The following is a 26,865-nucleotide window of genomic DNA, read 5'->3' as shown; positions in this document are numbered from 1 at the left end:
AGTAAACACGGATTAAAAACCACTCCACTTTGGGAGGCCGAGGCAGGCAGATCACGAGGTCAGGAGATCGAGACCATCCTGGCTAACACGGTGAAACCCCATCTCTACTAAAGATACAAAAAATTAGCCGGGCATGGTGGCACATGATTGGAGTGCTACTCGGGAGGTGGAGGCAGGAGAATCGCTTGAACCCAGGAGGTGGAGGTTGCAGTGAGCTGAGATCGTGCCATTGCACTCCAGCCTGGGCAACAGAGCAAGACTCCGTCTTGAAAAAACAAAACAAAACAAAACAAACAACAACAACAACAACAAAACTGCCCTACTAGGCCAGGTGCGGTGGCTCACTCCTATAATCTTAGCAATTTGGGAGGCCAAAGTGAGAGGACAGCTTGAACCTAGGAGTTTGAGACCAGCCTGGGCAACAAAGCAAGACAGTATCTCTAAAAAACCAAAAAAACAAAAAACAAAACAACAACAACAAAAAACACTTTACTGTGTTCATTTTGTTCCATTCAAAAGTATCACAAAGGTTCAGAAGGGGAAGTCTGTGTTAGCAAATGGCCATAGCAGGCTGTAACTGCAAACACGATACATGTTACAGCAGTGCGAATGAATTCCATTTAAAAAATCTGCATTCATGAGAAAGAGGGGCTAAGTATACATATGGTGAATAAAAAAAGACTTAGCTAAGGGAATGACTTCTTTGACCAGGTACCATGTCATAGCAGATAAAAGTTTCAGGGAAGAAGAAACTCGGGAGTTACCTACCAGTTCTTTGTCTCTTGCATTTTGGACATAAATGAAAATAGCAGGAAAAAGGCTGAGTGGACAGTGCTTTAAAAAGTCATGTTATGGAGTAGAAGAAACCTTTGTAATAGGCTGAATTGCCCTCATAAGCACTGGTCGAGATAGTTGTTGTAAGCATTCAAATTAGACAGGAAAGCGTGGTGGGAGGAGTTTTATGGGAAGCCTGCCATGGAGAAAAAGCCTTGCTATCTATGCCCTTCATCAAAGAGGAGAGTAAATTTGCCAGTTAAGCTTCAGAAGGAAATTCAGATAAAGTTAAATAAGAATAATCACTAATTAAAGTTAGCCTAAGTGTATCATTTCTTTTATATTTTGTTTCAAATAAATTTTGTTTGTTTCCCCAGTATTTAGAAGAGAGCTTGGCACACAGTAGGTGTTCAACAAATATCTGTAGACCAATTGAAAACGAAATAAGCAAATGTTTTCTCTTTTCAGTAGTAAACTTGATAATTACTATTTAGTCAGCATGTATAGTGTTATTTAAATGTGATGTTATTTTAAAAGCATAGACGGATTAGTTGTGTGCCTTTTATCTGATTCATTCATCCACCAGTCCTAAAGGCGGTCTAAGAGCCCTTACCTGGGTAACACCATCCCCCTTGTGGAACCTATTGGAACTGCAGATATGACCCGGCAGGAGACGAGGAACGTTTTTTTCAGAGCAAGGCTTCCAGACCCAGCCCGAGTGTCATCAGTGTCGTGCACGGTAACAAAAGTGGAATTTAAAGATATAGGAGAAATAGAAGCCAAATGTGGAAGAGCTAAGTCTCATGTAAAAAGAGTTCCGTGACATAAAGCAAGGGTATCTGAAGAAGGAATGATGAAGAACAAGCATTTATGTATGTGTGACACTCCCTTAGGTATTATGGCCTTGACACCAGAAGATGGTTCCAATTTCTCTTGTCACGTTCAAGTGAGGCGTCTTGGAGAGGGTTATCAAAGAGGAAGTTCACATAGGTAGGCTCCTAATTTAGTTTGTAGTGAAGATGGCCAAGCCATTCTAATATATGTGCACTGGGGGAAAAGAAAAGAAAAAAAAAGAAGAAAAAAAAACTAATATATGCGCATTGGTAGCTCATCATAATTTTAACTTGCATTTCTCCAATAGCTAGTGATGCGTAACAGCTTTTCATGTGCTTGTCTGCTTTCTGTATATCCTCTTTGGTGAAGTGTCCATTCAAATCTTTTGCCCATTTTTCAATTGGGTTGTTTTCTTACTGTTGACTTTCGGTAGTTCTTTATGCATTTTGGATATAAGTTTTTTTGTCTGATATGTGATTTGCAAACATTTTCTCCTAATCTGTGTCTATCTTTTCATTCTTGTTAACAGGGTCCTTTTTACAGCAAAAGCTTTTAATATTGATGAAGCCCAACTTATTAATTTTTTTTCTTTTATAGATTGTGCTTTTGGTGTCAAACTGAAAGAACTCTTTGTCTAACCTCATGTCATGAAGATTTTTCCCCTATATTTTCTTTTCTTTTCTTTCTTTCTTTTTTCTTTTTTTTTCTTTTTTCTTTCTTTTTTTTTTTTTTTTGAGACAGGATCTGGTTCTGTCACCCAGACTGGCGTTCCATGGCGTGATCTCGGCTCAACTCACTGCAACCTCCGCTTCCTGGGCTCAAGCGATCCCCCCACTTCAGCCTCCAGAGTGGCTGGGACTACAGGAGCATGCCACCACACCCAGCCAATTTATTTTGTATTTTTTTGTAGAGACAGGGTCTTGCTATGTTGCCCTGGCTAGTTTCAAACTCCAGGTCTCAAGTGGTCCTCCTGCCTTAGCCTCCCAAAGTGCTGGGATTACAGGTGTGAGCCACTGCCCCTGACCTCCCCTGTGTTTTCTACTAAACATTTTACAGTTTTCTTTTTTTACATTTAGATCTACAATACACTTCAAGTTCATTTTTACCAGTTTTATGGAGGTATAATTTACAAATAAAAATGGTGTATATTCAATGTGCACAATGTGATGATTTGAGACAGGTATACATTGTGTGATGATTACAACAATCAAATTAATCAATACATTCACCACCATACATAGTTACCCTTTGTGTGTGTTTGTGGCTAGAGGTGAGGATACTTAAGATCCACTCAGCAAATTTCAAGCATATAATACAGTATTATTAATGCTGCTATACTTTAGATTCCCAGAAATTATTCTTTTTGTAACTGAAATTTTGTGCCCTTTGACAAATTTTTCCTTATTTTCCCTCTGCCCCAGCTCCTGGCAGCCACCATTCTATTCTCTGCTTCTATGAATTTAATTTACATTTATTTACAAATATATATATTTAGAGACAGGTTCTCTCTGTGCTGCCCAAGCTGGTCTCAAATTCCTGAGCTGAAGTGATGCTCCCACCTCAGCCTCCTGAGTAGCTAGGATTACAAACATGTGACACCACATCCAGCTCTAATGAGATCATATGGTATTTTTCTTTCTGTGTCTAGCTTATTTCACTTAGCATAGTATCCTCCTGGTTCATCCATGTTATTGCAAATGGCAGGATCTCCTTTTTATGGCTGAATAATATTCGTGTGTGTGTGTGTGTGTGTGTGACACTTTCTTTATTCATTCATCTGCCAGTGGACACTTAGGTCGATCCCACGTCTTGGCTATTACTAATAATACTGCAGTGAACATGGGGGTGCAGATATTTCTTCAAGACACTAATTTCATTACTGTTGGAAACTCCCCACTATTTTCCATACTGGTTGTAACAATTTACATACCTACCAACAGTGTACAAAGATTCCCTTTTATCTATATCCTCACCAAAACTTACCATTTGTCTTTTTGATAATAGCTATCCTAACAGGTGTAAGGTGATATCTCACTGTGGTTTTGATTTGCAGCTCCCTGATGACTAATAATGTTGAGCCCCTTTTCATATACCCTTTGGCTATTTGTATGTTTTCTTTGGAAAAATGTCTATTCAAGTCCTTTGCCTATTAAAAAGTTTATGTTATTTTATTTTTTTCTATTGAGTGGTATGAGTTCTTTATATATTTTAGAGATTAACCCCTTATAAGAGATATGGTTTGCAAATATTTTCTTCCATTCTGTGGGTTGCCTTTTCATTTTGTTGATTGTTTCCTTGGCTAGGCAGAAGATTTTTAGTTTGAGGTACTCCTGCTTGTTTATTTTTGCTTTTGTTGCCTGTGCTTTTGTTGTCATATCCAAAAAATCATTGTCAAGGCCAATGTCAAGGAGCTTTTTCCCTATATTTTCTTTTAGGAGTTTAGTGATTTCAGGTCTTACATTTAAGTCTTTAATCCATTTTGAGTTAATGTTTGTGTATGTCATAAGGTAAGAGTCTAGTTTCATTATTTTGCATGAGGATGTCTAGTTCAACACCATTTATTGAAGAAACTATCCTTTTCCCATTGTGTATTCTTGGGACCCATTTCAAAGATTAGTTGACTATAAATGCATGGGATTATTTCTGGGCTATCTATCTTATTTCATTGGTTTCTGTGTCTGTTTTTATGTCAGTACCATAGTGTTTTGATTACTATGGCTTTGTAATATAGTTTGAAATCAGGAAGTGTGATGCCTCTAGCTTTGTTTTTCTTTCTCAAGATTACTTTGGCTATTCAGGGTCTTTTGTTGTCTCATACAAATTTTAGGATTTTTTTATGTTTCTTTTAAAAATGTCATTGGAATTTTCATAGGGATTGTATTGGATCTATAGCTCACTTTGAGTAGTATAGACATGTTAATAATGTTAATTTTTCCAGTCCATGAACACAGGATATCTTTCAACTTATTTGTGGCTTCTTCGATTTTTTTCAATGTCTTACAGTTTTTGGTATACAGATCTCTCACCTCCTAGGTTAAATTTATTCCTAAGTATTTTATTCCTTTTAGTGATATTGTAAATTGAATTGTTTTCCTTCATTTCTTTTTTGGATAGTTTATTGTCAGTGTATAGAAATGCAACTGATTTTTGTATGTTCATTTTATATCCTGACACTTTACTGAATTCATCTATTAGTTCTAACAATTTTTTGGTGGAGGCTTTAGGGTTTTCTATATAAGATTATGTCATCTGCTAACAGAGACAATTTAACTTTTTTCTTTCCAATTTAGATGCCTTTTATTTCTTTTTCTTGTGTAATTGCTCTTGGTAGGACATCCAGTACTGTGTTGAATAGAAATGGCAGAATGAGCACCCTTGCCTTGTTTCTAATCTTAGAGGAAAAGCTTTCAGCTTTTCACCATTGTGTATGATGTTAGCTGTGGACTTTTCATATATGGCCTTTATTATGTTGAGATCCATTCCTTCTATGTCTAATTTGCTGAGAGTTTTTATCATGGAAAGATGTTAAATTTTGTCAAATGCTTTTTCTGCACCTATTGAGATGATCTTATGATTTTTATTCTTCTTCTCTTAATGTGGTATATTACATTTATTGACATATGCATGTTGAACCACCCCTGCATCCCAGGGATAAATCCCACTTGATCGTGGTGTACGCTCCTTTTAATGTGCTGTTGAATTTGGTTTGCTAGTATTTTGTTGAGGATTTTTTGCATCTATGTTCATCAGGGATATGGGCCTGTAATGTTCTTTTCTGGGACTATCCTTGCCTAGCTTTGGTATCAGGGTAGTGCTTGCATTGTAAAAGGAGTTTGGAAGTGCTCCTGCCTTTTCAGTTTTCTGGAAGAGTTGGAGAAGGATTGACATTAATCCTTTTTTTTTTTTTTCTTTTGACACACACTTTCACTCTGTTGCCCAGGCTGGAGTGCAATGGCGCGATCTCGGCTCACTGCTCCCTGGTTCAAGCAATTCTCGTGCCTCAGCCTCCCGAGTAGCTGGGACTACAGGAGCACGCCACCATGCCTGGCTAATTTTTGTATTTTCAGCATGTTGGCCAGGCTGGTCTCAAACTCACCATGTTGGCCGAGCTGGTCTTGAACTACTGACCACCTAGGAAGCTGTCTGGTCCTGGGCTTTTCTTTGTTAGGAGGTTTTTGATTATCGATTAAATTTCATTTGTCATTGATCTGTTTAGATTTTCTTCCTTCATAATTTATTCTTGGTAGGTTGTATGTGTCTAGAAACATATGCATTTCTTCTAGGTTATCCAATTTGTTGGCATATGATTGTTCATGGTAGTCTTTTATGACCTTTATATTTCTGTGTCATCAGGTGTAATGTCTTCTCTTTTATTTCTGATTTTATTTATTTGATATTGTGTCTCTTTTTTCCTTGGTTAGTTTAGCTAAGGGTTTGTTACTTTTGTTTATCTTAGGGTTATTTTATTCTTTTTTTTCTAGTTTCATGGGATGTAAAGTTAGGTTATTGATTTGTGACATTCCTTTTTTCTTTATGTAGGTATTTATCATGATAAACTTTCCCCTTAGAACTGTTTTTGCTGCATTCTATAAGTTTTGGTATGATGTGTTTCCATTTTCATTTGCCTCAAGATACTTTTTGATTTCCACTTTTAACTCTAACATAAGTGACGAAAGTACTAAAAATAACTACAGCTACAATAATTTGTTAATGGATACATGATATAAAAAGATATAAAGTTAAAAGTGATTTACACACTACCATTGCAGTATTCTGAGTATTTTGGATTTGATGATATATTTACCTTTACCAGTGAGTTTCATATTTTTATATGTTTTAATGTTGTTATTTAGTATCCTTTCATTTCAACTTAAACACCTTTCTTTAGCATTTCTTGTAAGGTAGGTCTAGTCGTGATGAAATCCTTTATCTTTTATTTGTCTGGAAATGTCTTTTTTTCTTGTTGTTAGAGATGGGGTCTCATTTTGTCACCTATGCTGAAGTGCAGTGGCATGCTCATAGCTCACTGAAGTTTGAACTCCTGGGCTCAAGCGATCTTCTTGCCTTAGCTTCCCAAGTAGCTGGAAGTCCAAGTAGCTGGACATCACCATGCCTGGGTAATTTTATTATTTTTATTTTTGTAGAGACAGAGTCTCACTATGTTGCCCCAGCTGGTCTCAAACTGGCCTCAAGCAATCCTCCCACCTCAGCCTCCCAACATGCTGGGATTACAGACATGAGCCACCATGCCTGGCTTTGAGAATGTCTTTATTGTTCCTTCATTTATGAATGACCACTTTGCTGGTTATAGTATTCTTCATTGGCAGTTTTTTCATCTTTTAGCACTTTGAATGTATCATCCCACTCCCTCCTGGCCTGCAAGATTTCTGCTGAGAAGTTTGCTGATGAGGTTCCCTTGTATGTGGTGAGACTCTTTTCTCTTAATGCTTTCAATATTCTCTGTTGTCTTTGACTTTTGACAATTTGATTATAATGTGCTTCAGGATATTCTTCTTTGAGTTGATCTTGCTTGGGATCCTCTGAGCTTCATGAATCTTGATGTCCATTTCTTTCCTAGGATTTGTGAAGTTTCCAACCATTATTTCTTGAAATAATCTTTCTGTTTCTTTCTCTCTCTTTTTCTTCTCCTAAATTATGGGACACCCATAATTAGTAGATTCATTTGCTTATTGTGTCCCATAGGTTCCTTATGCTTTCTTCACTCATTTTCATTTTTTTTCTTTTTTTGTTTCTCTAATTGGCTAATTTCAAATTACCTATCTTTGTGTTACCCATTTCTTTCTTCTGCATGATCAAGTCTGCTATTGAAACTCTTTCTTTTAGTTTTCAGTTCTGTCATTGTATACATCAGCTCCAGGATTTCTGTTTGGGTCCTTTTTGTGGTTTTTATTTCTTTATTAAACTTCTCATCTCATTTATGTGTTGTTTTTCTGATTTTGTTCAGTTGTCTGTGTTCTCTTACAACTCACTGCACTTCAGGATGATTATCTTGAATTCTTCTTCAAGCCTTTAATAGATCTCCATTTATTTGGGCTGTTACTGGAATTATACTAGTTTTCTTCCATGATGTCATGTTTGCTGGATTATTTGTTATTTGTATAGCCTTTCACTGGTTTCTGTGCATTTGAAGGAGCAAATCAGTCTTTATAGAGTGATTTCAGCAGGTTTATGGGGGGGCTTCTGCTAGGTCACTGGGTGGGTCCCTGGGCAGGCAGGACAGGCCCGGGACTGTGGCTGAGAAGGGCTAGAACCAAGTCATAGAACTGCCTCAAGGTCTATAGCCAAGACTGAGGCCTGCGGGCCTGCCTCCATGGGCATGGACAGGTGTGCCTCCTGCCAGGTTCCTGGGTGGACAGGACTGCCCTGTACAGTTGAATGGAGCTGGACCCAAGTTACAGGGCTGTTTCAGGATCTGCTGTGATACCAAGGTTAGCAAGCTTGCTTCCTATGGCACAGACAGGCATGACTCCCAGCAAGCCCCTGGGAAGGCATAATTGCTCCCATACCACAGCAGAGTGTGACCAGAGCTGAGTTATAAGGCTGCTTCAGGGTATACTGCTGGGACCAAGATTGGCAGTCCTGTAACTTGAGGCACAGATGGTTGTGACTCCTCCTGGATGCCTTGGAAGATGATTTTGGTGGCAGAATCATGACCAAATGGCATTGTAGCTGAGTTTACAGGGGGATGAGGCTATTTCCAGGTCTGTAACCTTCACCACAGTCAACAAGCCTGGGTGTGGGCCTGCCCTCTCAAAACAGCCTTCCTTGGTGTTGGACTCTACTAGAGTTTTGCAACATCCTACCTGGGTCCAAAATTCCCACAAAGGTACTTTGGTCCATGGATGGCTGCCAGATTCTTGTTGCTCTGGAGAGATGTGATGGACTTCCCATTCACCATCTTGTTGATGTCATACTTGAGTTAATTTTTATAGAGCCTGAAGTTTGGGTCAAGATTCATTTTGCCACATATGGACATCAAATTTTCCTACACCGTTCCTTGAAAAGACTTATTCATCCTCCATGGAATTGCTTTTTCATCTTTGTCAAAAATCAATTGACCATATTCATGTGTTTATTTCTTGACTCTTTTCTGTTCTGTGGATCAATATATCTATTCCTTCACAAATACATCACTGTCTTGATTGCTCTAGTCTTATACTAAGTCTCAAAATCAGATGGTATAATTCCTTTAACTTTATTCGTTCTCAAAATTGTTTTAATTATTTGTAGTTTCTTTGTTTTTCTATATAAATTTTTGAATCAGCTTGTTTATTGCTACAAAAACTCTTGATGGAGGTTTTTTAATTAAACTTTTTATTTTGAAAAAACAAGATTATTTTAATAAAGTCTTGTTTAATCTTCATCTACATCTACCCATTGTCAACATTTTACGTTTGATTTATCTTTAAATGTAAAAATGTAAGTATATACATATATGTTTGTATTTGAGAATACATCACAGAGATTACAACCTTTTGCTTCTAAATAGTTTTTAGCGTGTATTTTGCAAGAAAAACGATATTCTCTTCCCTTATAGCACCCACAATGCTATTACCAAATTTGGGAAATTTAATATTTATGCGAAACTATTACCTAATATAGCCTGACTGTGATTTTTACTTGAATTGCATTATACTTATAGATCAATCTGGGGAGAATTGGCATCTTTACTGTGTTGAATCTTCCAATCTGTGAACATGGTATGTCTCTAATTATTTAGATCTTTTATTTTATTCATCAGCATTTTACAGTTTTTAGCCTATGAATCCTGTATGGTTTACTAGATTTATTCCCAAACATTTTATTTTTGAAGGTATTTAAATGGTATTTTTTTTAAAATTTCTATTTTCAATTCTTCTCTGCTAGTATATAGAAATGTGATTAATTTTTATGCATGATCTTGTATCCTGTGACTGGCTAATCTCATTTGTTAGTGCTTGGAGGTTTTTGTTTTATTTAAAGTAGAGTCCTTGGGATTTTCCATACATACTATCATGTCATCTACAAGTAAGGACAGTTTTATTTCTCTTTTTTTCCGATCTGTATGCATTTATTTCTTTTTTTCTTTTTGCCATATTGCATTTGCTAGGGCTTTTAGCATACCGTTGAATACAAGTGGTGAGAGTGGACATCCTTGCTTTGTTTCTAATCTTAGGGAGAAAGCATTTCATCTTTCATGATCAAGTGTGATGTTAACTGTAGGGTTTTTTTTTTTTTTTTTTTGTAGATGCCCTTTATCAGGTTGAGGAAGTTCCCTTCTATTCCTAGTTTGCTGAGAGATTTTATCATGATTACATGTTGAAGTTTGTCAATTGATATGATTACATGGGGTTTTTTCATGCTTAGATGGTTAGTATGGTAGTTTACATTGATTTATTTTCAAATATTTACACTTGCCTTCCTGGATAAAGGCCACTTGGTCATGGTGCATTACTCTTTGTAATGTATTGCTGGATTCAATTTGTTAATATTTTGTTGCTTTTTTCATTTATATATATGAGGGATCTTAGTCTGTAGTTTTCTTTTCCTTTTTTGTACTATCTTTGTCTGATTTTGGTATCAGGATGTGGCCTCGTAAATGAGTTGGGAAATGTTCCTTTCTCTTAAGCTTTCTTGCAGAGATTGCATAGAATTCGTGATATTTTTTCTGTAAAATGTTTGTAGAATTTGCTGTTGAAACCATCTGGGTCTGAAAATCTCTTTTTGGAAGGTTTCTAACCTTCTAAAATTAAGATTATAGTGATGGGTTATTTATTTCATGTTAGGTGAGTTTTGATTGATTGTAGTTGTCAAGGAGGTCTCCAAATATAATTGCTAATTTGTCTATTTTTCTTTTCAGCACCATCAGTTTTTGCATCATATATTTTGCAGTTCTATCATTTGATGCATGCACATTTAGGATAGTTGTTTTCTTGGTGAATCAGCCCATTTATCATTACATAATGTCACTCTTTATCCCTGATCCTGACTTTAAAAAAAGTTAAACCTGTACAGCCTCAAATTGCTAATGATTACTAGCTTAAGTTAAAAATGGTACCAATATGACCTAAGTGGGTCCTTTCTTCAAATCATCTCTGATTCCTCTCACTTGCTCACTTAGCCCATAGATTAATAGCCAATATCTATTGTACACTTATCATGTAAAACTGTTTCACATGGCATAGTTTATTTAATCTTCATAAAGACCCCATGAGAACAGTAATCATTATCATTTTGTGGATGAGGACCTGAGGTTCAGAGTGATTACATTGTTCCAAGATTAGACAGCTAGCAGGTGAGTGGCCAGGGCTGAAAACCAAGATTGTCTTACCCCAGAGACTGTACCCTTAACCACTAAGCTCTAGCTGTTACTTCCCTTTAGTCATTTACCAATTCTTGCCAGTTCTGCCTTCCAGATATCTTTCAAATTATTCTATTTCCCACCTCCATGCTACCACTTGGTCAAAGCCACCATTATCTCTCACCTGGATGACTACCAGTGTCTTCTAAATAGGCTGCCTGCTTCCATTTGAGCCATGATGCAGCCAGTGCATTAAATGCAAGTCTGTCTCTATCAATCTATAGCATGTAGCCAAGGACATGGCTGGTTTATCAAAGAGGCATATCTGTGGCTTTATGATTACTTACTGTATCTAAGTTAACTATAAATATAAGAACCTGTGGGAGTATATGGTAATTTAACAATTCAACAATAAATATGGTTTCCTGTGGCCCTTAGGATCAAGTCCAGTCTCCTAACCCTGGCTTAGAAGGGTTAGGAGATCTTGGTGATCTAGTCTCTGGCCACCACCTTGTTCTTTGCATTCCACCATGCTATTTTTTTCAGCTCCTTCAAGTGCTCTCTAGCTTCAGGGCTTCTCTGCCTGCGGTCCCCTTTGCCTGGAAAACTCTCTCTTCAGCTCTGTGTCTGGCTAGTTCCTATTCATCTTTCAGGCCTCAAGATAAATGTCATAGGTTCAATATTTTTAGGCCATCTTTGACTTCTTTCCCTTTCCAAACAAACAAACAAACAAACAAACAAACAAACAAAAAACTTCTCCTATCCGTCTTCCTGCCTCTGTCCCCATTGCTACTGCTATGGTCCAGGACTTGATTTTTTTCTAGTCTGGACTGCAGCCTTTTGTCTGCCCTTCAGCTATGGGTTTCTTCCCCTCCAATCCATTTCCCACACCTCTGCCAGAAATTTTTAAAAAGCACAATCACATAATGTTGTTTGCTTCCTCCAAAACCATCAATATTTTCCAACTGCTGACAGAATAAAGTCTGAACACATTGGCTTGGTATTCAAGGCCCTCACTGGCCTAGCCCCACGTGTCTTCCTAGCCTCATCTCTCAGTAGCCGTACTCACATTCCTTATGCTGCAGCCTAGTATTTCTCAAAGTGTTTCGTAGCCTAGTGTTCCCATGCCCTGTAGGGACATTAGATGATCCAAGGTGGTGTATGGATAAAAAGTTATTTTAATGCATAGAGAATAAAAGCAAATTCATGGTAGCGATATAAAATTTCCTGTTAAAATACATTAATTTAGGCTACAGAGATGACTTAATTTGAAGGAAAAGTATGTTAAGTAATAATAGCATAGGTGGTACACAGCTGTGGAAAGAGCCAGAAGATGGGACACAAATGGCTAAAGTATGGGAAACGGGCCCGACCACCTTTGTCTACTTCCCATTCCCTCAACTCACCATGTAATTCACATTTCTGTGCCTTTGATGATACTGTTCCCTTATTTTTATTACTCTCTTTCCAACTTTCTGCTTATCAAAATTCTCTCAGGCTTTATGGTTTAGCTCAAATGACACTTCCTTGTGATATCTTTGCTCATCTCCCGGTCAGAATTGAGGACTCCCTCTTCTGCACACTCCCAAGACATTACTCGTGCTTCTTTCTGGTTCTGGTTCATTTTGTTTGATGGTGTAATTAGTACCTCATATGTCTGTCTCTCTCCCTATCAGACAGTAAGTTTGGCCTTTAGCACAGTGCCAAACACAGAGAGATAGCTTATGATAAATGTTCATTACATTGAATTATAGTAAAGGAAGAAGTTCAATTTCACAATTCTCCAAGTTGCAGGTGAAAGTTAATAGGAAGAGAAACCGTATTCCAAACAAGGAAAGGCTATCTGAAGTTATAAGGTGTGCATGTGTGTGTAAGGATATAGGCAACGAGTTATTTCCAGTGTAAGGTGAAAACCTATAATTCTTATGGGTGAAAACATTATGTTTCATGTTTCGGGGCAATGACCTAAATCTGAATGTTGGCAATGCTTGCCTAATCTAGTCAGTTGGCTCAATGCCTTCAGAAATTTAAAAAAAAAAAACAAAAAAACAAAACAAAAAAAAAACAAAAGTAGTTTGTCAAAGAGGAATTTCTGTGGCTTTGTGATTACTTGTTGGATCCAAATAAACTATAAATATAAGAACTTGTAGGAGTGACAGGTAATTTAATAATTCAGTAAACATTGATGAGCCTACCTCATATGAAATCTCTATGTTAAAAGCCATGGGGACAGGGTTGGGAACTGGAAAGGGGAGGGTGAAAGGAGTAAATATGGAAATGATGAAAATAATGCAAGCATGGTCCTTGATACCATGTATTGACCATTTGTTGTGAAACAGCACTCTGTTCAGCACTTAATGTATATTATCTCATTTAATGTTCTTGCAGTCCTCATAGGTGGATAATTTTATTATCTCGTTTTACAGATGAAGAAACTAAGAATCAGAGAGATCATGTATCTTTACTCCAAGCTGTAGGAAAAAAAGTAGATAGCATTCATTATGTGCCAATAACTATTTTAAGTACCTCATGTGTATTAACTCACATTAATACGTGTGGAAAACAAAATTCCTGTCTTGGAGAAGCTCTGGGTTTCTTGTGAAAGATAAGGTTCAAAGTTGAATTTTGGAGGAAAGGTAGGATTTTTGTCAGATGGATTGGTAGAGGAAGGGTCCTCCATGCACAAAGAAGAGCCTGAACAAAGTCCAGGAGATGGGAGAGTCCAAGGCCTGGGAGTAACATCATTACCTGCAAAAACACAGGCAGCCTAAGGAAGCCGTGGTACAGGAGATGAAGCTGGGAAGGAAACTGGAGAGATTAGGCCTGATGCTGAAGGAAATGAATAGCCAGTAAAGGTTAGTAAGCAGAGAGCAGAAGAGTAGCATGATCGTGTCTGTTTCAGGAAGATAATCTGGAATAACTGTGAGAGCAAGAGAAACTATAGGCAAAGAGATCAGCTAAGAGTTTTGGCATTCAGATGAAAGCCAATGGGAACCTGAAATAGGCTACTATTTCACATACCAATTTGAAAGTCACCAAGGAGGTAGAATTTTTCAGCCCAACGCAGCTGAGTTGATGCTGGGGTGATGGAAGGGGATTAATGAAAGATGCCGTGATGGGGTATGTGGGAATGCTGGGAATGCATCAAAGTCTAGGCCAGGCATGGTGGCTCACTCCTGTAATGCCAGCATTTTGGGAGGCCAGGGCAGGAGGATCCCTGGAGTCCAGGAGTTCGAGACCAACCCAGGCAACATAGTGAGACCTCGTCTCTACAAAAAAATTTAAAAATTAACCAAGCATGGTGGTGCACACTTGTAGTCCCAGATACTCGGGAAGCTGAGGCAAGAGGATCGCTTGAACCCAGGAGTTCGAGGCTGCAGTGAGTTATGATCATACCACTGCACTCCAGCCTCAGCCTGGGAGACAGAGCAAGACTCTGTCTCCAAAAAAAAAGAAAGAAAATAAGAAAAAGAAAAAGCCTGTATCTGCTTTAGTTATCATTATTCTTCCTGAAGATGTAATAAAGTCAGTGTCTAAGGTGTCTGCCTCAGAGGAGTGGTTGTCACTCCTCTCTTGATCAAGTGGCAAGATTGACAAGGTTGGTAGTATCTTATCAGGTGTGGTGGTTGGGCTCCAAGTAGTCAATTTCGGTAGTTAAAAGGAAGAAAATTAACATGTATTGAGGATTTTCTCACCTCAAAGATCTCTGGAACAGTCTTGAGAGGCAGGTACTATGCTGTTTCTGTTATGGTACAGGGTGAATGACTTACTTGCTCAAGGTCACATAGAAAATAACAGAGACTCACTTGCATAAGGTCTCATAGCAAGTAAGTGACAGAACTGGTCTGAAGACTATGTTCTATTTTTATTTATTTATTTTGAGACAGGATCTCACTCTGTCACCCAGGCTAGAGTGCAATAGCGTGATCACAACTCACTCTAACCTTTACCTCTTAGGCTCAAAGGAGCCCCCCATTTCAGCCTGCACAATAGCTAGGACCACAGGCATGCACCACCATGCCTGGCTAATTTTTTGATTTTTTTTTTTTTCTGTAGAGATGGAGTCTCACTGTGTTGCCCAAGCTGGTCTCAAACTCCCAGGCTCGAGCGATCCTCCCACCTCGGCCTCCAAAAATATTTGGATTACAGGCATGAGCCACTGCACCCAACCTGTTCTATTTTTTACAGTACCAGAAACCAGAGAAAGAGGGCAGGCCCACACACCCAAAAAGGATGTCCAAGGGAGAGAAAAAAGAATAAGAGTGAATTTAAAGATTTCTGCTGAGGAAGAAGAAATCTGGAAGACCTTCAAGTTAGTGTCAAGCTTGGTCTTGCATGAAATATAATAATGATAAGAAAGGGCTCCTGTTCTCATGGAGCTTATTGGGTAGAGGGCACCAAAGATATAATGGCTGCTACCCAGCCATTCTTACAAAATGCTCTAGACTTTCAGAGGCGATATAGTCTTGGGTTGTCTGGAAAATGTTACAGAGAAGATATGACTTGAGTAATATCTAAAAGGAGGCGCTGTCCCTGGATAGTCCAGGAAGAGCTATCATGCCATCTTTCCACTGGCAGGAGTAGTGGGAGTAGTGGGAGCAGAGGTGAAGGAGTGGGAGAGTACATTTCCTGTTTGTTTAGTGAATAGATTGCCTGGAACGCAAGGCAATCACGTAGGGAAGAGTAGGAGGACGAGCTGGCAAGGGGTTAACACCAGAGAATGGAGGAGGGCTTTGAATGCCCAGTCTGATACCTTTATACATCATCACTTAGGCAATGGGAAACCACTGACTATTTTTGAGCAGGAGAGGGATGTAATCAAATATGCTTTTGAGGCGGTGGCTCACGCCTGTAATCCCAGCACTTTGGGAGGCTGAGGAGGGCAGATCACCTGAGGTCAGGAGTTCGAGACCAGCCTGGCCAACGTGGCAAAACCCTGTCTCTACTAAAAATACAAAAGAAATGGTCGGGCGCGGTGGCTCACGCCTGTAATCCCAGCACTTTGGGAGGCCGAGGCAGGCGGATCACAAGGTCAGGAGATCGAGACCATCCTGGCTAACACGGTGAAACCCCATCTGTACTAAAAAAATACAAAAAACTTAGCCGGGCATCGTGGCGGGCACCTGTAGTCCCAGCTACTCGGGAGGCTGAGGCAGGAGAATGGCGTGAGCCCGGGAGGCGGAGCTTGCAGTGAGCCGAGATCGCGCCACTGCACTCCAGCCTGGGCGACAGAGCGAGACTCTGCCTCAAAACAAAAACAAACAAACAAAAAATTAGCTGGGTGTGGTGGCACACACCTGTAATCCCAGCTACTCAGGAGGCTGAGGCAGGTGAATTGCTTGAACCCGGGAGGCAGAGGTTGCAGTGAGCCGAGATTGCCCCACTGCACTCCAGCCTGGGCAACAGAGTAAGACTCCGTCTCAAAAAAAAAAAAAAAAAAAAAAAAAAAAGATGCTTTTGAAAGACCTCCAGAAGTAAGCACTGGAATAGATTGGAGAGGGTGGAGATCAGAGGTTAGACGATCAGGAAAAAGGATATTGAGATAGTTTAGGGGGATGGTGATACAAGCCCGGAAGAGATGAGGGAAAGCCATCCTCTGAATGAAAGCTGGCTCTCAGAGGGGCTGTCAGAGCCACAGCCTAATTTTAAGGACATGAATATTTGTGTTCCAAATCTCCTCCAAGCCATTTTCTCGTTCCTCTCTTCTTGCTTCCTCCTTCCTTCTTGTCCCTCTGCCTTTCCTCCATTTTCTCTATTTCCTCCCCATTACTTCCAGTAATGCTCAGTAATCAGCTATGATTCTGAACATCATTTGGGAAGGAGGGGAAGCACTGAGGGAGGCTCTGAGCAAGATAGAAGGAAGGAAGGAAAGAAGGTGAGAAAGAAAAGGAGGAAGGAAAGATAGGCGAGAAAGAAGAGGAGGAAGGAAGGGAGGAAGGCAGACATTTCTGTAGGAGCATTTCCCATGGACCAGACTGAGAGGATGGGGATACTGAGACTTAGAGGGATTGCAGTACTTGCTTGGAGTCACATAGCTAATTGCCATCTAAGTCTGATGAACTCCAGAACTCATGTCCTGTTTGCCATTCCACGGTGATTCCCTTTCCTGTCTCCCCTGATCTGTTCAACTTATGTAATAATTTCTTATTCCGATACCCTAATATCACTTTGTCATGGCTCTTTCACTCACCACAGTCTGTCTTACATTATAGTGATCTGTGTATATGTCCAGCACTGGCACATAAAATGCGGACAATGATTGAATGAATGATTGGTTTATCTCTGTTACTAGATAGTAAGGAGGCTGCAAGGATCTCACAGCAAGGACAGCCCAAGATCATATCATTAGTATTTAATCTATAACTGTTGGATTGAACATATTTGAATGTCTTAGGCACCTCTGTGGGCATCACGCCCTGTTGGACACTGAAGCTACCTTGGTAACCTTCAAGACCCAGGATTTGTGTTGTAATTTCTAGCATAATCACTAAAAGAACAGAAACAAGATGTATAGCACCTAAACTAGAAGAGAAAGACAAATGGAATGGTAAAGCTAATCAGTCTAAAAGAAGTCAAATCAAATGGCCAACAGGCACATGAAAAGATGCTCAACATTACTGATCATCAGGGAAATGTAAAGCAAAACCACAATGAGATCATCTCACACCCATTGGGATGGCTATTATTTAAAAAACAGAAAATAAGAAGTATAGGTGAGGATGTGGAGAAATTGAAACTCTTGTGCACTGTTGGTGGGAATGTGAAATTGTGCAGCCATTGAGGAAAACAGGATGGCAATTCCAAAAAATAAAAATAAAAACAGAATTACTGTGTGATCCAGGAATTCCATTTCTGGGTATATATCAAAAGCATTGAAAGCAGAGTCTCAAAGAGATGTTTGTACATCTATGTTCATAGCAACATTACTCACAATAGCCAAAACGTCAAGGCAACCTAAATGTCCATCAATAGATGAATGGAAAACAATATGTGGCATATCCACACAAGGCACCGTATAACTCAGCCTTTCAAAGGAAATAAATTCTGACCCATGATACCACATGGTGAGCCTTAAAGCCATTATACTAAGTAAAATAAGCCAATCATGAAAGGACAAACACTGGAATAATAATTCCAATTATATGAGGTACCTAGAATAGGCAAATTCATAGAGACAGAAAGCAGAATGGTGGTTGCCAGGGGCTGGAGGGAGGGGGAATTAGGGAGTTATTGTGTAATGGATACAGAGTTTCAGTTTGGGAAGATAAAATTCTGGAGATGGATGGTGGCCATGCATTGTGAATGTACTTAATGACATGTACTTAGAGCATACTTAGAAATGGTTAAAACGGTAAATTTTATGTTCTAGGTATTGTACCACAATAAAAATAACTTTTAAAAATGAAGGTGAAAAAAAATCCCGTTTATTCTTTATTTTTATTTTTATTTTTTATTTTTTACTTTTTTTGTTTGAGACAGAGTCTTGCTCTGTCACCAGGCTGGAGTGCAGTGGCGCAATCTTGGCTCACTGCAACCTCTGCCTCTCGGGTTCAAGTGATTCTCCTTCCTCAGCCTCCCGAGTAGCTAGGACTACAGGCACGCGCCACCACACACAGCTAATTTTTCTATTTTTAGTAGAGATGGGGTTTCATCATGTTGGCCAAGATGGTCTCGATCTCTTGATCTTGTGATCCACCCGCCTCGGCCTCCCAAAGTGCTGGGATTACAGGCGTGAGCCACCGCACCTGGCCCCATTTATTCTTATGTGTTTCCACTGAAGACCCATAGGTATCATCCCCACTCCACTCCTCCAGCTCTTCTGGGACAACTAGAAACCGTTGAGATTTGGGGGTAAAGGGGCATTACTTGGAGGCTAATCCTCACCTTCTTGGTCCCTCACATATCCAGTTGTCTGATACACTCTCTACCCTATACCCAGCAGGACACAGTGTCCTTTGAGAGGGGAAATGAAATAGAGAAAAATATATATGAGAAAGTATCATTTTCTGGCAGAAAAATGAGTACATTTTAATTAGAAACACTGCCTCGGCCCGGCGCGGTGGCTCATGCCGGTAATCCCAGCCAGCACTTTGGGAGGCCTAGGTCGGCGGATCACCTGAGGTCAGCAGTTTGAGAACAGCTTGGCTAACATGGCGATACCCCGTCTCTACTAAAAATACAAAAATTAGCTGTGCGTGGTGGCACACACCTGTAGTCCCGGCTACTCGGGAAGCTGAAGCAGGAGAATCGCTTGAACTCGGGAGGCGGAGGTAGCAGTGAGCCAAGATCCTGCCATTGCACTCCAGCCTGGGCGACAAGAGTGAAACTCCATCTCAAAAAAAAAAAAAAAAAAAAAAGCTGCCTCAGAAGAGCATTCTTGGGTGGGACAGGCCCTACACCTAAAAGGACCCGCTCACATAGCTCATCCTCTCTTGACCTCTTTCCCCTGCTCTCTCTGCCCCATCTCTGCCCACTCTTTCTGGGACCCGGATTTGACACGGTTGCTGCCACCCCAATAGCAAGTCTCTTAGGACATTCCTGTGCTCCTCACTTTCCTGGCTGAGGGTCAGAACTTATCAAAGGGGTCTTTTTGAGGAAGTTAGGGGAAATGCAAAGGAAAACAAAAGGAAACTATGAAAGTCTAGAAACAACTAAGTTTACTAACAAAATGACTTTCTTCTCTCGATATAGCTAAAGTCAAGCCATCAATGGGCTTAGCATGTTTTGATTTTAATAAGGCTTAATAAGTCTGCATTTTGAGAAGGCTGTGGACCCCTCTGGCAGTCTGGTGAAGCCATGGACCCTTTCTCTGAATAATATGTTTAAATGCACAAAATAAAATACGCAGATTTACAAAGGAAACCCATTATATTAAAATTCAGTTATCAAAATATTACCCACAATATAATATAGTAACATATGTGCTTCTTGATGTATGCATTAAATAACCAGATCTAACAGCAGTGCCAATAACTACTGGAATTTTGAAGTAGTCGTGAACATAAATGAAATTTCGAGATGCCTGCAACAACTATAATATGAAATGCAAATCTCTGTGATGTCTGTTACTGACACTCACAGGTACTCCTAACACTTCGTGGTTTATTGCCTACATTCATCATTGAAGGAAATACTACATTTCAGTTAGAGGTTAGTGGAAAGAAAGAGGCAGTTTTATTCATCCCAATTCAAAGTAACCCCCATCCACCCTGAATTTTTGGTCTATAGGACCCTGGTTGAGAGCCTCTGCTCTAAGGGTCATATAGCCTCCCATGGGTTGGAACCAGCTGTCTCCTACCTGTCTCATCCTTCAGGATGACATTATTTCTCCTCATCCAGTTTTCAAGCTTGCACCTGTAATTGACCACCCCCAAATCCCTGGTTTCTGGCAGGGAAAATCTTGGAGCTGTCAGCCCGTTTGCCGTTTGCACTCCAGCCTGGGCGACAAGAGTGAAACTTCATCTCAACAACAACAAAAAAAAGCTGCCTCAGAAGAGCCTTGGGTGGGAGAGGCCCAACATTGTTGACTTCTGTGCTGTGAGTCCACAGAACAACTGGCTCTTTCTCAAAATTCTGTCTGAGATGTCACTCAGGCAGCCCTCAGATTTTCCAGAATTGTCTCACCATAACCATAGACTAGAAAATCACCCTACACCTACCTAGTAACACCAACTCTGTAAGCCACCACCACTTCTGCCCTGTCCCTGAATATGACTCTTTTCAGCTAGTTCATAGGGGACAGCTCCTGAGAAGACTGGAGTGATTTTTTTTTTTTTTTCATCTTGAGACGGAGTCTTGCTCTGTCACCCAGGCTGGAGTGCAGTGGCACGATCTTGGCTCACTGCAAGCTCCACCTCCCGGGTTCAAGTGATTCTCCTGTCTCAGCCTCCCAAGTAGCTGGGATTACCAGTGCATGCCACCATGCCTGGCTAATTTTTGTATTTTTTTTTTTTTCAGTAGAGACGAGATTTCACAATGTTGGCCAGGCTGGTCTCAAACTCCTGACCTCAGGTGATCCACCTGCCTCGGCCTCCCAAAGTGCTGGGATTATAGGCCTGAGCCACCGTGCCTGGCCTGGAGTAATCTTTAAACCAGAACAGCTGCAGCCTCACTCCTGGCCTTTGTGCCAGCCAGATCCTTCCCAGAGGGTGGAGATCACCCAGATGATCTCTTTGGAACCCTCCTCATCTGGAGATTGGCCACTCTTTTGGTTTGTTCCCCATGTGCTCTCCAGCCCTTGGGGTTCACTCACCTAAAAATATATAGACTGGGATCCATTGCAAAACAAAGAAGGTTTGGAGGCCCTCCTGGAGATTCAGTCGGGAGAAGAAAGCCATGGTTATGGTGCTGTTCTGTTGTGGCAAGAAGCCTAACCAGAAGGTCAAAACTTCTTAAGCTGAGTTGATTATAGATGCTTTGCTATAATCTCTTACTGTGGAGTAAGATTAGCTGCTGGGGTTTTGTCAGGCTTGACCAAACTTTTCCTCCACTGCCCCGCCCCAACTTCCTACCCACACATCAGGTTGCAGATCAGGCAATATAATTGATCTCCCCAGTAGTATCCTTTCTCCACGTGTGCCCAATTGTAATGAAGCAGAAATGGCCCTGGGGCGGCTCTAGCTGTGGGGGAGGGGCACTCTTGATAAATCAGCGCAGGAAGAGAGTATCTTGGGCCTCAAATAGGACCTCCGAAAAGCACCCCACTACCTTTCCCTGCTTAAGAAAAGGGACTTGGCAGCCACACTTGTTCCTGCCCTAGTGGTTACCCTTTGTCTCCTCTTGTCTTCTGCTGAGTCACCTAGCCCACTGGGGCTGTTTTTCTGCACCGGATATCTGTTAATAGACTCTTCAGATCCCTCTTTGTGCCTCTAGTCCCAAGGGACCTGCCTCAGTGGCCAGATACCTTATCATAGAGCGGGAGAAACATTGCACAGAAGGAAGACCTGGCTCCCAGTCCCAGCTCTGCCATGCTCTTCCTGTGACACCTTTGGAAAATGTTACATCTCTCTAGAGCTCAGTTTGAGCATTCATTGCTAGAATGTAATATAGGTTAGGGGCATAGACTTTAGAGCCAGATAGCTGGGGTTCACATCTCAGCTCTGTCACTTACAAGGTGGTGAACCTCTATGCCCCAGTTTCTCCATCTGTAAAAGTGGGACTATAATAGTACCTACTTCTTAGAGTAGTTCTGAGGATTAGATAAGTGAATGAATATAAAGTGCTTAGCACACAGCCTGGCACCGTTTCCTGTCATTACTACTCACTGAGTTCAAGTAACACATATTGAACAAGTAACATATGTTTCAGGCTGAGGCTTGCTTCTGTGTAATAGCCTTTGGAAAACTGAAGACTGTTCCCAGGTCTCAGACCGTTTTTTTTCTGTTTGTTTGTTTCGTTTGTTTTTTTTTTTCCAGACAGAGTCTCACTGTGTCGCCCAGGCTGGAGTGCAGTGGCGTGATCTCGGATCACTGCAACCTCTGCCTTCTGGGTTCAAGTGATTCTCCTGCCTCATCCTCCTGCGTAGCTGGGACTACTGGCGTGCGCCACCACGTCCAGCTAGTTTTTGTATTTTTAGTAGTGAGAGAGTTTCACCATGTTGGATATATTTTTTCTGTCACTATCTATTGAGTGACTGCTGTTTGCCAGGCACTGTGTTTAGGTGCTGAGGATTCAGTAGGGAAGAAGACAGACATGATTCTTGCCTTCTTTGAGTCTACAGTCTAGTGGAGGAGACAGACATTAAAACAAAAAAAAAATCACAAAAATGTTAGGCTGGGTGCGGTGGCTCATGCCTGTAATCCTGGCACTTTGGGAGGCTGAAGCGGGAGGGTTACTTGAGCCCAGAAGCTCCAGACCGGCCTGGGTAACATAACGAGATGCCATCTCTACAAAATAAGTAAATAAATAAATAATAAAATAAAATTAAGATAAAATGTCTGTACACTTGAAGTTGCAATGTGTCCTACAGGAAAAGCCCAGTACTCCCAGCAGAAGGCCTTGAATATAGAAGGTAGTCAAAAACATCTGTTAAACATAACTGAAGGGGTTGCTGGGAAAATGAGATACAAAAATGGTATCAAGGGTTCTATAAGTGCAAGGGGGCATTGGTCCCTTTTCCAGGGAGATTGTTGGAACTCTGTCATCTCCCCACCCCCACTCTGCTTTGGGCTTCCCGCATTAGACTGACCAATGTGACTCTTCAGAGCTGAGCTTGGGGAACTTTTCTGGTATGTCAGGGTGTGCTTTCACTCCCCCGTGTGCACTAGATGGTCATCTGACATGCGACACCTTCCTCTTCCTCCTCTTTCTTTTCTTCCCCTTGGGCTAGCTGGGGTTCTCCAGCTGCTTCTTGGGGCTGCTTGACCACATAGAAGGTGAGATGTATCAGAGCGTATCTGCTCAGAATTTGCACGGGAGGAGGGAGGGAGGTAAGAGAGGCAGGCTTGGCTCTGCTCAGGGAAAGCAGAGATATGGAGGGGCTTAGAGTGCCCAGGCCAGACGAGATCCACAGTATCAAGAGCTCCAACGCCCCTTACAGATCAGGTCTCCGCTCCCCTCCACTTTCAGATGGGTGAATGGAGGAGATCTGGAAAGGGCTCAAGGTGATGCAGGAACCAGAGGCAGACAGGGCCAGACAGTTTTCTACCTCTGTCTCCCTAACATCTGGGTCAGGGTCTGGTGCAGAGCAGGCACTCAAGTAAATGTCTGTTGAACCTGTGAGGGAGACCAGGTCTCTTGATGCCTCAGGCAAGATAGACTGACCCAGATTGGCCACCCTTTGCTCCCAAAGACAGAGCACGCTGGCCCAGCTGGAGCTCTCTTGAGCCAAATGGACAAGTATAACATAAACATCAGTGAACAAAGAAAGAGCAAGAAGAAGATAATTAGGCTAGCAGATAAACCCTGAACATCCAGCACTCGTGATTTCCCAGTTACAATTCATCAACCAACAAGCAGAAGCTTGGCAGCCTCAGAGTAAGCAATAAAGAAGGAAGGGTTGCCAAGGAGCACAAAGGGCCTGCCAATTTCATTTGTAGACATTGAAGGTTGACGTGATTCCCACCCTCAAGAAACTCACAGTCCAGTGTTGGAAGTAGGTGTAAAAGCAGACACCTGCATGGGGTGCTGTGGGTTGCACAGACGAGAGAAGCACCTGCCTGCCCTGGGAGGTGAGGGAGGGGTCTGTGGAAGAGGGCCTGCTGCAGTGAGGAGAAATGGATCAGGCGAGAGAGGCCTGGACGGGCAGTCCAAGAGACGGCCGTGAGCTCATCAAACGGGGCTGTGATAAGCTGGACCCCAAAGAAACTTCAAAGGAGCAACAGAAAAACAAAGAAAGGAGAAAAGTGGAAGGAAACAGATCAAGGGGACCGGGACCAGAGAGCTCAGAAAGGGTGGTGGAAGTGAAGGGGTAGCTCTGATTCAAAGCTCTGATTCAGAAAGGGTAGCTCTGATTCAAAGGTTCACCCTCAGCCTTTGGAATGACTCATTTCCAGACAGCTTTGGATAGCTGAGGTTTTGCCATAATTTGTTTTCTTCTGATCTTCTCCCTCTGTCATACCCTTATATGGTTAGGTATTACAATTTCAGCTCAATTGAAAACATTAGGCCCAGGCATGGTGGCTCACGCCTGTAATCCCAGCACTTTGGGAGGCTGAGGTGGGCGCATCACTTGAGTCCAGGAGTTTGAGACCAGCCTGGCCAACATGGTGAAACCCTGTGTCTACTAAAAATACAAAAATTAGCTGAGCATGGTGGTGCAGACCTGTAGTCCCAGCTACTCACTTTGGAGGCTGAGGTGGAAGAATCTCTAGAGCCCAGAAGGTCGAGACTGCAGTGAGCCAAGAATGTACCACTGCACTCCAGCCTGGATGACAGAGCAAGACCCTGTCTTAAACAACAACAATGGAGAACCTATTTAATGCCAAGCACCAGGCTAGGTATTCTAGAAGGAGTGTACCTAATCCCTTCATTCACCAAATTTTTCTTGAGGCCCTACTTACTCTAAGTCTGGTATTGTTCTAGGTTTACAATTGCATGTGTGTTGGGTTATGGGGCAGGGGGCACGGACAGGGAATGAAAGAAGTGCATATGTCATCAATACAAGGATTGGGGCCATCAGAGAATTCCAAAGGAGACAGAGACGAACACTAGCAGCTGTGTGACCTTGGACCAGACACTTCCTCTCTTTGAGTCTTGGTTTCTTCATCTGGTAAAAAGGATGCATCCTATTTCTTTGCTGTGAGATGTAGTGGCAGTGTTTGAAAAGCTTCTCGTGCAGTGTCTGCCATCCAGGAGCTGTTCACTAGCGCTCCTATTCAGCTGTGGGGAGGGAGTATTTGCAATGTGCTCTAACAGGTTGAGAAGTGGGGAGGATGACATTTCCTACAGTGGCCCAGCATACACAAAAGACCAGAGGTTTGCTTTGGCACACGGGGTGGTTTAGTTTGATAGGAGTCTCAGGTTGGTGGAGGGGAGTAGAAGAAGAGAAGGCTGGAAAGCGATAAGTGGAGCTGATTTCCTCACAAATCTCTTTACGTATCTGGAGGCCTAGATACGTAAAGAGATTTATGTTTCACTGGATTCTAGGTCTAGAATCCAGTGAAAGTAGACCCAGGAGTGGTGGTGGGACGAGGGGCCTGTGGAGATGGAGGGTAGGGCAGAACAGGGGACGTTTAAAATCCCCTGGAAGCAGTAGTGACTGGATCACTTCTCATGGCAGGCAAGGCCCCAGGGAACAGCGGCCTCCAGTGTCCTGGTTCAGGGTCTTGGGGGAGGGGTGGCCAACCCTCCCAGTTTGCCTGGGATGAGGAGTTTCCCAGGATGCTGGACTTCCAGGGCTAAAACTGGTATAATCTTGGGCAAACTGGAACAGTCGGTCCCCCTAGTTTGGGCCCTTGTCACTGTCTCCTGGACTACAGCAGGTTGTTGCCTGCTTGCCTCCCTTCCTTTGGTCTCCATTCTGCAGTTAGAGGGGCTGCTGTCAAACACAGCTCTTACTGTCTCTCTGCCTTGTTTCAAACACTCCAAAGGCTCCATTGCCTCTGGGATCCAATTCAGACCCCAGGACCTGGACCCAGAGCCCTAGAAAGGGAAACACTGGTTTCCACCCTCCTTGAAAGTCTCATTTCCCATCACTTTCACACCACACCAGATACAGCCTAGTTCCCCAAACCGGAAGTGTCCTTTCCTATTCTGAGCCTTTGCCCATAGCAGCATCCTATCAACCTGACTGGCTCCTACCCACCCTTCAAGATTCAGTGAAAATGTCATTCCCTGCTCTCTCCTCTGGGTTTCCAAGGCACATTATACATACTTTTGGGAGAGCACATATCAAGGAGTTGGGTTGAGAGTATAGACCCCAACTCTACAGCCAGCTTCTGGCGCAATGCTTGGTGTACAGTAAGCTTTTGGCATGTACATTTTGAATAGCTGGTATATTGACATGACTCAGAATTCAGAAGGAACTATGCGTGCTCAGTGAAAAGTGTCCTTCCCACTCCTGGCCTCTAACAACCCAATACTCCTCCCCCTCTAGGGACCTCTTTTTGCATACACAAGCAAATAAGGTAATTTGCTTTGTTAATGAATAAAGAAACTAACAGTAAAAACCTGGAATCATTCCAAATGTTCAAAATCTGGGGCTGGCTAAGTAAGCGATTATATAGCAACATTATAGACTAATCTGCAGTCATTAAACATTATTAAAATTATTATAAGGCAGACTGTAGTATTACATGCTAAGTTTTAAAAGCAGAATATAAAGCAGACCTCCACATTGAATGCACTTGATTAAAAAAAAACAAAAAAAAAAAACCCCAAAAAAACTGGTCTCTTCAGTGATAGATGGAACTGATCCATCAGCCTGAGACAGAAATGATTGCTGCTTTAAGGTGAAGGCATTCAAAGTTTTCTTTTATGTAAAGTTGTTTGAATATGAAAAGAAAGGGGCTGGATTC

General features: G+C 41.5%; 1 protein-coding gene across 1 annotated transcript in view, besides 2 other annotated features; it reads right to left on the bottom strand.

Moving 5' to 3' along the window:
* The window catches only part of DGAT2L6 (diacylglycerol O-acyltransferase 2 like 6), a 28,222-nt gene extending 6,876 nt beyond the window's left edge, over positions 1-21,346 (bottom strand). The window contains exon 1 of the mRNA NM_198512.3: positions 21,162-21,346. Within this exon, the coding sequence (NP_940914.1) occupies positions 21,162-21,246 (85 nt within the window). The 5' untranslated portion in view covers positions 21,247-21,346. The remainder of the gene's footprint in view (positions 1-21,161) is intronic.
* Positions 21,654-21,703: an enhancer, noted in NCBI's record as "active region_29730". NCBI's record gives its function as "activates an Ori minimal core promoter by ATAC-STARR-seq in GM12878 lymphoblastoid cells {active_cell/tissue: GM12878}" and the evidence as "EXISTENCE:reporter gene assay evidence [ECO:0000049][PMID:35858748]".
* Positions 21,724-21,783: an enhancer, noted in NCBI's record as "active region_29729". NCBI's record gives its function as "activates an Ori minimal core promoter by ATAC-STARR-seq in GM12878 lymphoblastoid cells {active_cell/tissue: GM12878}" and the evidence as "EXISTENCE:reporter gene assay evidence [ECO:0000049][PMID:35858748]".

The sequence above is a fragment of the Homo sapiens genome, chromosome X, assembly GCF_000001405.40.
Source record: "Homo sapiens chromosome X, GRCh38.p14 Primary Assembly".
Classification (NCBI taxonomy): domain Eukaryota; kingdom Metazoa; phylum Chordata; class Mammalia; order Primates; family Hominidae; genus Homo; species Homo sapiens.
This window is presented reverse-complemented; position numbering and strand designations above follow the sequence as displayed.